At 51.3% G+C, this 12,131-nt stretch overlaps 1 annotated feature.

Moving 5' to 3' along the window:
• Positions 3,927-4,479: an enhancer, noted in NCBI's record as "H3K4me1 hESC enhancer chr22:44616903-44617455 (GRCh37/hg19 assembly coordinates)". NCBI's record gives its function as "activates a minimal SCP1, AML or CMV promoter by ChIP-STARR-seq in primed H9 embryonic stem cells {active_cell/tissue: H9 hESC(primed)}" and the evidence as "EXISTENCE:reporter gene assay evidence [ECO:0000049][PMID:30033119]".

Raw genomic sequence — 12,131 nt, 5'->3', positions numbered from 1 at the left:
CAGAGAGATGGGAACAAGGCTGAGAGCAGCAGAGTCCTGGCAGCCAGGTGAGGAGAGGGCAGCAAGGAGGAGAGAGAGACCAGCCAGCAGAGTCAGACTCAGAGGGTGGCTCAGACAGCTGACGTCTGCCAGCCAACCCTGGGTTTTGGGTTGGGGGTCACTGCTGACTTCATTAAGCCTCAGGGAATCCATGGGGTCACGAGTGTGCTGGAGAGGGGTGTTCAAGAAAGATGGGGAGGAGTTTTGCTCCTTCAAAGAGCTTTGCTATCCAGAGGGGGAAAGAAACATGGAAGTGGCCAGGCGCCGTGGCTCACACCTGTAATCCCAGCGGGAGGTTGAGGCGGGCAGATCACCTGAGGTCAGGAGTTTGAGACCAGCCTGGACAACATGGTGAAACCCCATCTCTACTAAAACTACAAAAATAGCCAGGCATGGTGGCCCATGCCTGTAATTCCAGCTACTCGGGAGGCTGAGGCAGGAGAATCGCTTGAATCCAGGAGGCTGTTTGCAGTGAGCTGAGATCACGCCACTGCGCTCTATCCAGCCTGGGCTACATTTAAAAAAAACAAACAAACATGAAAGCAGAGGAAGGAGTAGAGATCAAGACTGTTTTTGAAGATGGAGGAACAATCAGGGTACACCGGCTTTCACCTGTAATCCTAACACTTTGGGAGGCTGAGGTAGGAAGGACTGCTTGAGACCAGGAGTTTGAGACCAGTCTGGGCAACATAATGAGACCCCTGTTTCTACAAAAATTGTAAAAATTAGTCTGATGTAGTGTTGCATGCCTGTAGTCCCAGGAATTCCAGGCAGCAGTAAGCTGTGATCAGACCACTGCACTCCAGCCTGGGCAACAAAGTGAGACCCCATCTCAAAAAATAAAATATAAAATAAAATAAAATAAAGATGGAGAAACAGTGGGTGCATGAATGCTGATGCTAGGAGTGGAGCACCTGTGGCAGGGCACAAAACAGACGGACTGCTCCCTGGTAAAGCCCGGGCTTTGATGGGGCCCCTTCCAGTCAGTGGCACATGCTCTTCCCCACCCCTGCATGCCCATCCCCAGAGGAGAGCGAGCCCTGTGCCTCGCTCAGATGCGGCCCCATTGGGAGCGGCACATGCTCTTTTAAAAGAACATCCCAACTGCAGTTGGACGTCCCACGTTCCCATGAATCACCCCAGAAAATAATTGAGTGGCTGGCAAATATTCAAGCCAAACCCCCAGTGCGGGAGGCAGCAAGACGTGACATGAACGAGGAGTGTGCAGGATGAACCCGAGAGGCAGGGACAGACAGGCTCTTGTTAGAAATGTCTATTTGTGGCTCCCCAGTCTAATTTCTGAATATGATAATGAATAAATATTGGTCTTTGCTTCTGCAGCCTTTTCTATCTGGGTGGCTCAGCCAAATAGATGCTGCCACCTTTTGTTTTCTAGAACTGTTGAGAGACTAGGGCTCAGAGAAAAGAAAGGCATCCCCCAGGGTCTCAGGGCAAGGTGGTAGCAGGGAAGGGGACACTGAATGGTCAGAGACCCTGGGAAGGATCTGTGTTTGCCCTAAGCTTGAACTCTACCTCCTGCGTTTGTCTCTGTAATGCACCCTCTGAGTGTCATCCAACTACTGCTTAAATACCACCAATGGCAGGGAGCTCACTACCACCAAGTGGTCCATGCCATCGTTAGTTGGTTCAGAAAGTTAGAAAGTTCCTTCATTTGACAAACTTCTTTCTTGAATTCCTGTAATGTGTTGAGCAGTTCTCTAGACGTGGGATGCCGTGAACTGGTCCTTCAGGGTCCCTGCCCTCACTGGAGAGACAAATAGGAACCTACACACAGCAGCACAGGGAGGAGAGGGAGGAGAGTCCAGCTCGTGCTTATGCAGTGCAGAGGACGCAAGGCCACAGGAGAGGGTGATGAGGCTTTTTGCATTAGTTGACACTGAGCAGTGTCAACTAAGCTGAGAGCTGGGTGACAGGAAGGAGCTCTATGTGTGGGTCCAAGTGAGGGCAGAATTCTGAACAGAGGGACGGGATTGCAGAGGGAATTCCAAGAGGTGGGCAGGCACCCTTGACATTCTCACTGTGGAAGAGTCAGTCCCAGGATCAAAAACTGGAGGGCTGGGTGCAGTGGCTCATGCCTGTAATCCCAGCACTTTGAGAGGCCAAGCGGGGTGGATCACTTGAGGTCAGGAGTTCAAGACTAGCCTGACCAATATGGGGAAACCCTGTCTCTACTGAAAACACAAAAATTAGCCAGGCATGGTGGCACATGCCTGTAATCCCAGCTACTCGGGAGGCTGAGGCACAAGAATTGCTTGAACCTGGAAGGTGGAGGTTGCAGTTAGTGGAGATTGTGCCATTGTGCTCCAGCGTGGGCAACACAGTGAGACTCCGTCTAAAAAAAAAAAACAAACAAACAAACAAAAAAAAAACCTGGAGTAAGGCAATTGGGCACTTGGTCGCAGGGCATGGGCCACCTGTCCGGGTGTGCATCATCCTTGAGCAGCCCCTCCCCCAGGTCACCTCCCCACCTTCCCCACCCCCACCAACTCTAGGTCTTCTGGCCTTCCTGTCTTCTCTGAGTGGTGCTGGGAGGAGGGTCTGGGTGGGCTTGGAATCACAGAGGGCAGACACATTGAGGAGGCTCTTGAGGTCACAATGGCCCACGGCTATGGTTTGAGTATTTACCCCTTTCAAAACTCATGTAAAACTTAATTGGCAATTTGGCAGTGTTGAGAGGTGGAGCCTTTAGAGGTGATTGGATCATGAGGGTTCTGCTCTCCTGAATAGGTTAATCCATTCACAGATTAGTAGCTTAGTAGATGAATGGGCTAATGGATTAATGGGTTATGACAGGAGTGGCATTAGTGGCTTTATACAAGAAGGGAGAGAGACCTGAGCCAGCATGCTCAGCCCCTCACCATGTGATGCCCTGTGCCACCTCGGGACTCTGCAGAGAGCCTCCACCAGCAAGAAGGTCCTCACCAGATGTAGTGCCTTGACCTTGGACTTTTCAGCCTCCGTACCTGTAAGAAGTAATTTGCTTTTCCTTATAAAAAACCAAGTTTCAGGTATTCTGTTATAAGCAACAAAAAATGGACTAAGACACCCACAGAAGAGGGGCTGAGTCAGGACACTGGGTCTGGCTGCTCCCTGAAGCCCCAGACTTACTGTGATTGCCAGACTGTGAGGCAGCTCCTCCTGCGACTGAGGCCCCTCTGTCTCCCTCCCCTCAGCCAACGGCCCCCCTCTGCCCTTTGGGCCCATGTGCCAGCTTCCCTCACCCAGGGGGCAGCCCTGCAGAGACCTCATCAAGGAAAACCCCATCCCTCCTGGGCCTTCTCTGAGGTTGCAGTGAGCTGCACGGTGTTCCCAAAATGACACATCTGCATGCTAACCCCAGGAGCTGTGAATGTGACCTTATTCGGATATGGGGTTTTTGCAGATGTGATTAAGACAAAGCCCGACCTGAATCTACTGACTGGCATCCTCATGAGAAGAAGGAGAGGGAGGTTTGAGATACTCAGACACAGATGGCACCCACAGGGAAGGCCACGTGACATTGCAGGCAGAGAGGAGAGGGATGCGACCACAAGCCAAGGAATGCCGAGAGCTTCCAGGACCCACTGGAGGCTGGGCAAGAGGGGTCCGGAGCAGACTCACCCTCAGAGCCTCCAGAAGGAATCAACCCTGCCAACACCTAGATTTCGGACGCTGGGCTCTAGAACTGTGAGAGAAGACACTGCTGTTGATTTAGGCCACCTAGTTTGTGGTCATATGTTATGGTAACCCTGAGCTACCTCACAGAAGGATCAAAACCACTCAGGTGACGGGTGCTCCATAAATATGAGTGGGATGCGTGGATGAGAGGCTGGTCCCAAAGAGTGGAGTGCCCCTGCCCCACACCTTCTTTCCTTCCACACTGCAAGGTCACAGCCACTCTCAGCATCTGGCCCCAGTTCCTGAATCCTGCCCTGGCCCCCGGGGCATCCCATGGAAGCCCCCTGCTCAGCCATGCTGTGGCTGTTAACCTGGCAGCTCTGGGCTCCTGTCAAATGAGTGTGCGGGAACTCAAATAATACCTGCAAAATGCCAGGGGCAGCCATGAGTGCCAACGCATCAGTGCGCCTCCACCTCCACAGCAAGTGATCCCAGTGAGATGTGTCCCCGAATGGAGGGTAGTTTTGCTTGAAGCTGATGTTTCTTATATGTAATTTTATTCTTATCGATAGAAGCAGCTTGTAAAATGTGTAGCTACGTGTGTTTAAAGGCTTTTACACTGTGTAAAATTTTTCCTAAAATTAGATTCACAAATCGGGGGTGGGGGAAGTATTTTGTCAGATGCGTCCCCGCTCCAGCTGGCCACGGTGCCTGCCGCTGTGGCCTCTCCCCACGCCTGCCAGGGTGGGGTTCCCTGCCGGCGCCTGGAAGAGAAAGGGCCCAGGACCTTCCCAGTGCCCTCCTCCCGGCTCCCTCCAGACGGGCCATATTGTCCCAGGAGTTGGTCTGAGATAGAAGCTGTGCCCTCAGGGAAGCTGCATTTGAAACATTCTGTCTTCACCCAGGAGAGGATCTGAGCTGCCTGCCCAGCGGGCAACAGCTCTTCACAGTCAGCTGCTCACAGAGCCTGCGTGAGGCCCCACCCCCTGCTGGGTCATCATTCGCTTTCCACGGCCCCCTCTCCTTGGTGGTTCTAGGCTCTCACATCTCAAACCCCACAAGGCTCTTGATGCCACAGTGGCCCACTGATATGGTTTGAATATTTGCCTCCTTTAAAACTTATGGGAAACTGAATTGCCAATTTGGCAGTGTTGAGAGGTGGAGCCATTTTTTTTTTAAGATGGAGTTTTGCTCTTGTTGCCCAGGCTGGAGTGCAGTGGCACGATCTCAGCTCACTGAAACCTCCGCCTCCCAGGTTCAAGCGATTCTCCTGCTTCAGCCTCCTGAGTTGCTGGGATTACAGGTGTGCACCACCATGCCCGGCTAATTTTGTATATTTTTAGTAGAGACGGAGTTTCTCCATGTTGGTCAGGCTGGTCTCAAACTCCCAACCTCAGGTGATCCGTGCCCGGCCAAGAGAGGTGGAGCCTTCAACAGGTGATTGGGGCCAGGTGCAGTGGCCCACGCCTGTAATCCTAGCACTTTGGGAGGCCAAGGCTGGTGGATGACTTAAGGACAGGAGTTCAAAATCAGCCTGGCCAACATGGCAAAACCCCGTCTCTACTAAAAATACAAAACAACTAGCCAGGTGTGGTGGCAGACGCCTGTAATCCCAGCTAGTTGAAGGCTGAGGCAGGAGAATTGCTTGAACCAGGGAGGCAGAGGTTGCAGTGAGCTGAGATCACACCATTGCACTCCAGCCTGGGTGACAGAGTGACACTACATCTCAAAAAACAAACAAACAAAAAAAAGAGGCGATTGGATCATGAGGGTTCTGCCCTCGTGAATGGGTTAATCCATACACAGATTAGAAGCTTAATAGATGAATGGACTAATGAATTAATGGGTTATGATGAGAGTGGCATTAGTGGCTTTATACAAGGCAGAAGAGAGACCTGAGCCAGCACACTCAGCCCCTCACCATGTGATGCCCTGCACCACCTCGGGACTCTGCAGAGGACAAGGCAACCGTGACTGCCTCCATCATAAAGCATGGTGAGGCCGGGGAGTGTGACCACTCCCAGGACACTCAGAGCCAGGCTCTCACGTCCTGAGAAGCCCAAGGCACACAGGGAGGCCACTTGTGCCCCCTCGCTCCATCAGCAGTATGAGCCAAGTCCACCTGGGACCCGAGGTGGGGGTGAACTGCCTCCCCAGGATGAGTGCAGCCCCAGCATCCGGTCACCTCCCGCCTGTCCAGCCTTCCTACCTGAGGCCCCAGAAACTGGGGAGGGGAGCTGAGACGCCCGCCAGTCCCCGGCTGGATTCCTTAACCACAGAGGCCAGGAACATAGCAAGACCCAAAACCAGGGTTCTCTCACACAGTTGTGTTTGGGAGGTTTATCCGGCAGCTGGAGGGAACTGGAAGACAGGAAAGACGGGAAGCTGTTATGATTGGCATCATAATCCCCACCCCCATAATGAGGAAGCCTGTCTGGTGCAGTGGCCACGCAGGGAAAGCGTGAGCAGGGATTGGAACCCGGCTATCCGCCCGCCCGCAGTTGCTGCCTTGCTAGAGGGTAGCTTGGGTGTAAGTCAGGGGACCTGATTAGACCTGCAGGATCCCCCAGCTGTGGGAAGGCCGGTCAGGCCTGGAGGCTCCACTGGAAAGAAGTTGCCGAGTGTCCCAGCCCCAGGGGTCTCAGAGCACAGCTTTTCTGGAGCAGCCTCATTTCAACAGCTCCGGGTCCAGGTTCAGGCATTACAGGGCGCAAAGCTTCTACAGTCTGTCATTTTAACTAAAGAAACACAAAGATATTCTCCTCTTACCAGGTGTATAGAAACTATACCATGTGGGCCAGGCGCGGCGGCTCATGCCTGTAATCCCAGCACTTTGGGAGGCCGAGGCAGGCAGATCACCTGAGGTCAGGAGTTCAAGACCAGCCTAGCCAACATGGTGAAAACCCCATCTCTACTAAAAATACAAAAGTTAGCCAGGTGTGGCAGCAGGCGCTTGTAATCCCAGCTACTCAGGAGGCTGAGGCAGGAGAATCACTTGAACCCAGGAGGCGAGGGTCGCAGCGATTCGAGATCACGCCACTGCACATGCATTACTGGGGCCCTCCCAGTACCTTGGAAGCTGCCGTGTGAGGGAGGGAGGAGCTGTGAGGTTTCCCCAGCTCCTAGGAAGTCCACTCTGCTCTTCAGAGATCCTGCCCCTTGCTCCGGAAACCATCACCACGTCACACCAGGCCACTGTTGCAGCACCACAAGCCCTGCTGTCATCTGCTGCTCCCAGGGAGATTCAGCCAGAGATGTGTGTGTGTTGCGGGTGGTGGTTGGGGGGGGGTGCTTCTGAGAAGCCCAGAGCAGGGAGGGTGATGCCCTGGAATCTCAAGGTTGGAGCCTCCTGCCCTAAAAGGGGGGAGACCGAGGCTGTGAGCAGGGAAGGGCCTTGTCCCCTCAGAGTCGGTCTGCCTGTACCCCCCAGATGTTACACGCGTGATTAGGTTTGAGCAGCCTCATGAGAACAGCATGACCGGTGCTTTCTATGTGACCCAGGGACACTGGTCTTACCCTTGGTCCCAATGACATCCTGCCGGTCCCCAGGGTCTCCTAAATGGTGAATGGACATCAGCTGGTGGGCCCTGTCTGACCACCACAGCCCAGATTTTGATAGCCAGAGCAGACAGGACAGGGCATAGGGTCTGTGCCCAGGGTGGCCTGAACAAGGCACTGGTCCAGGGTGTGGAACCCAACCCATTAGGAGCACCCCATTCTGCCCTGCACACTGGAGGCCAGAACCCTGTGCAGACTCCTCAAAAGGCGGTTCCTCCCTCTGCTGACACCCCTCTGGATGGGGACTCACTGCCTCTAAGGCCATGGATGCCATTCTTGCCCATTAGAAAGCTCTGTCTGGTCAGGCACAGTAGTTCACGCCTGTAGTCCCAGCACTTCAGGAGGCTGAGGCAGGAGGATCACTTGAGGCCAGGGGTTCGAGACCAACCTGGACAACATAGTGCAAACCCATCTCTAAAAAAATTTAAAAATTGGCTGGACATGGTAGCACAGGCCTATAGTCCCAGCTACTCGGGAGCCTGAGGTGAGAGGATGCTTGAGCCCAGGAGGTTGAGGCTGCAGTGAGCCATGATCTCACCACTGCACTCCAGCCTGAGAAACAGAGCAAGACCCTGTCTCAAAACAAAAACAAAAACAAAAAAAACCCCACTCTGCCTGATGCTGATATAGAACCTGCCTGCTACGCCCCGTCACCTGGGGCCTCTGCCTCCCGCAGGTGAGCCCACAGGGAAGCTGAGTCTCTGTTTCAGGCTGTGGGCTCCCTCGCACCCATTTCTTGCCTCCCTCAGCCCCTGGGACTCAGGCCGTTTCCTTCTTCTAGAACAGCTACCCCAGCCTACTCTGTCCTCCAGCAGAGTCAGGACCAGCTCTTCAAGAAGATTCCATCTCCCAGCACACCCCACACTAATTGTGTCCTTGAGAAGAAAGCACCAAAGCCTTTTGTGGCCGGTGTATACAGTCGTCCCTCAGTATCCTGGGGATTGGTTCCAGGACCCCCCGAGGATACCAAAATCCACAAATGCTCAAGTCCTTGATATAAAATGACATAGTATTTGCATATAACCTTCACACATCCTCCCATGTACTTATAAATCATCTCTAGGTTACCTATAATCCCTGATACAATGTGAATGCTATGTAAATAGTTTTAAATTTTTTTTTTTTTTTTTTTTTTTTGTGGAGACAGAGTCTCACTCTGTCACCAGGCTGGAGTGCAGTGGCATGATCTCAGCTCACTGCAACCTCCACCTCCAGAGTTCAAGTGATTCTCCTGCCTCAGCCTCCCGAATAGCTGGAATTACAGGCGTGCCCCACCATACCCGGCTAATTTTTGTATTTTTGGTAGAAACAGGGTTTCGCCAGGTTGGTCTCAAACTCCTGACCTCAAGCGATCCACCCACCTCGGCCTCCCAAAAGTGCTGGGATTACAGGCGTGAGCCACCGCACCCTGCCTTTCCTCTGAATATTCTTGATCCAAGGTTGTTGAATCTGAAGATGTGGAACCCGCAGACATTGAAGGCCGACTGTACCGACGTGATGGAGAAGACTATCTATAGATACATGCTACCCCTCCCCCACTGTCTGGCTGGATCAGGGGCTGGGCTGGGAGACAGAGCTAGGCAGGCGGAGGGCTTTCCTGAATGGAGGAGAACGGATGGTGGGAGAGCAGATGCCTCCATGTGGGGACTCGAGATGGAGAGGGAGGATTTTAAAGATACTTTTTGCTGCTTATTAAAAATCTACTATGTGCTACCAGAGAATGCTTCTATTTTCCACAGTATGGCAGACTTAATCACTGAACAAGAGTCCCACTGCAAAGTAACGGAAAATATAATGTATATGTATGTATGTATATGAATGTATTTTATATGTGCATATATACATAGAGATCTATAATGTATGTGTTAAAATGTGCCACACTGAGCAAGCAAGAACAAGGAAAATACAAACCGGAGAACTTCAAGTGAAAGTGAAATCCCAAGAGGTGAGCAGTTGCCAAAGCTGACTTTGCCTGGGGGACCTCAGCCATGCCTGGTTATCTGATCTTCCTTTGTGATGACCGCATTTGGCCCTGAGGATGGGAGGAAAGCCAGGGCCCACCCATCAAAGGAAATCAGGAAACCTGGCAGGGTGCAGTGGCTCACGCCTGTAATCCCAGCACTTTGGGAGGCCAAGGTAGGCAGATCACTTGAGATCAGGAGTTCGAGTGCAGCCTGACCAACTTGGTGAAACCCATCTCTACTAAAATACAAAAATTAGCTGGGCGTGGTGGCAGGCGCCTGTAGTCCCAGCTACTCGGGAGGCTGAGGCAGGAAAATCGCTTGAACCCAGGAGGTGGAAGTTGCAGTGAGCCGAGATAACGCCACTGCACTCCAGCCTGGGCGACAGTGTGAGACTCTGTCTCAAAAAAAAAAAAAAATCAGGAAACCCCACATAAAGCTGGTATCCCCCAAAGGACTATGCTTTCACTATTGGAATAAGATGGGGAAGTGGGGCTGAAGAAAGGGAAAGCAAGGACACTTGTCTATATCAATCTTGGACATGAGTAAAAAATGAATAAAAACCTCCCCTAAAGAGTCATAACCATAAGCCAGATGGGCTTAGCCAGGGCTCATAACCACAGCCATAATATGGGTTGTACACTAGCTGTGTGGACCCCAAATCCTTAGACTAGGATTTTCACATAAAAGAGCCAAATTGGAGTGACCCTACACATCCGGCAGAAGCAGATGTGAATAATCTCTGGAGGTTCCCATTTTCAACCTAGGCCTTGAAGAATTCTCCACAATTAAGTTGAAAGGACCACAATCAAAACCCACAAAGACCCACAAGGGAAAAAGCACCATGAGCAAGCGTCAAGGTAAACAACAGACAGCACAGTGAAACTGCAAAGGTTTGGATGTTAGCGTCATCAGACACAGAACAGAAAATAAAGATAATCCATAGAAAGAATTAGAGGAAGGGTTCAAAAATACGAATAATATGAATAAAGAACAACAGACTATACAAAGGCCAAGATATTTTGAAAAAGAAGCAAATAAAACTTCTAGAAATGAAAAAAAAATATCTAATTGAAATAAAATGAATGATTAAATAGAGTTGATGCAGCTGTTTTAGTCAAGTGCTATAGTGTTTGTTCCACCGCTACTGTAACACACACCAAATGAGTAGGAGTTCAAATATTTCTTGCTCATATACTGTTCAAAACGAGTGTTCCTGACTGGCAGGCAGCTCTCCTCCCAGGGTGACTCCGTCTGTGGCTCCAGCATCTCAGCACACGGCTTGCAATCTCACCAGGCTAGTCAGCATCACCAGAGCATCGGGGAGTACAGGAGTATCAGGTCATGCAGGGGACTGGGTTTGAGGACCAGGCTCAGCAATGTTGTGTTTTACTTGATTCACATTTTATTATTGACCACGTTGGGTTGCAAAGAAGGTGGGGCATGCAGTCCAGCTGCGTGCCCAGCAGGAAGAGCAGATGGGCTTGGTAGGTGGCCAGGCCATCTGGGCCATGGCTGCTGAAGAAAGGTGGAGATCCCAGTCAGTGCTAGCCTTGGCCATTGTTTAGCTGATAGGACTTTTCAAAACCCTGCCCACCATTATTGCAGTTCATCCTTAAGATGGATTACCATCGTGGGGGTTGAACTAAGCAGGCAGGATCATTCCATTTTACAGATGAGGAAACTCAGGTTCAAAAAGGGGTAGTGACCTGTCCAAGACTACACAGCTGCTAAGGGGCCCAGTAAGACTGGAGCCAGGACTTCCCATATCACACTCCTGCCTCTTACTCCAGACAACCGGGTAAAGGAGAGGGATCATGGAGCCAGAGGTCCTCCATTTGTCCCTGTGTTTTCAGCTGAGCTGGTGAGCCTACTGGCCCAGCACAGGGGCCAAGAAGATGGGTTCAAGTCAGAGCTAAGCCCCGCTTGAATGCTGGCATCCTGGGATGCTGGGGTGGCCAGCTGGGTGGGCTGCAAGTTGAAGCAGCAGGTCTGGATCTGACTCACCCAGGAGAGTTAAGAGGTCACGTTAGTGGGTCAGTCCACAAGTATTTACCCAGGGCTAGGTGCTGCTGTGGGTCTCCAACAAGCAAAGCCTAGAAGCAGGGACACAAAATCCAGGTAGGACTCACCTGATGAGCTGGCCTTTTAGTGCCTAACTCTGAGTGCCAAAGGCGTGCCAGGCCTCTAACCTCACGTACCTCATGTCACTGCATCCTCACTAGGACCTATGGAGGAGGGACTTCCAGCACTGTTTTTGTGCCTGTAGTGATGATGATGATAATGATGATGATGATGATGATGTGATGGTGATGATAGTGACAGCAGTGGTGATGATGGTGACAATGATGGTGATGGTGACAATGATGATGGTAGTGATGATGGTGATGATAGTGATGATGATGTGATGGTGATGATAGTAACAGTGATGGTGATGATGGTGACAGTGGTGTGATGGTGGTGATGATGGTCATAATGATGGTGATGACGATCTGATGATGATGATGGTGACAGTGGTGGTGATGATGGTGATGTTGATGATGTGGAGGTGATGATGATGATGATGGAGGTGATGATGATGTGATGGTGATGATGGTGACAGTGGTGGTGATGATGGTGATGTTGATGATGATGGTGGTGATGATGTCATGGTGATGATGGTGACAGTGGAGGTGACGATGAGGATGATGGTGATGATGATGATGTGATGGTGATGATGGTGACAGTGGAGGTGATGATGGTGATAATGATGGAGGTGATGATGATGTGATGGTGATGATGGTGACAGTGGAGGTGATGAGGATGATAATGGTGATGATGATGCCGTGATGGTGATGATGGTGACAGTGGTGGTGATGATGGTGATAATGATGGAGGTGATGATGATGTGATAGTGATGATGGTGACAGTGGTGGTGATGGTGATGATGACACCCATGATGTCATCTGACATTTA

The sequence above is a fragment of the Homo sapiens genome, chromosome 22 (assembly GCF_000001405.40).
Source record: "Homo sapiens chromosome 22, GRCh38.p14 Primary Assembly".
Lineage (NCBI taxonomy): Eukaryota > Metazoa > Chordata > Mammalia > Primates > Hominidae > Homo > Homo sapiens.
Note: the sequence above shows the minus strand (reverse complement) of the source record. Positions and strands in the feature narration are given on the sequence as shown.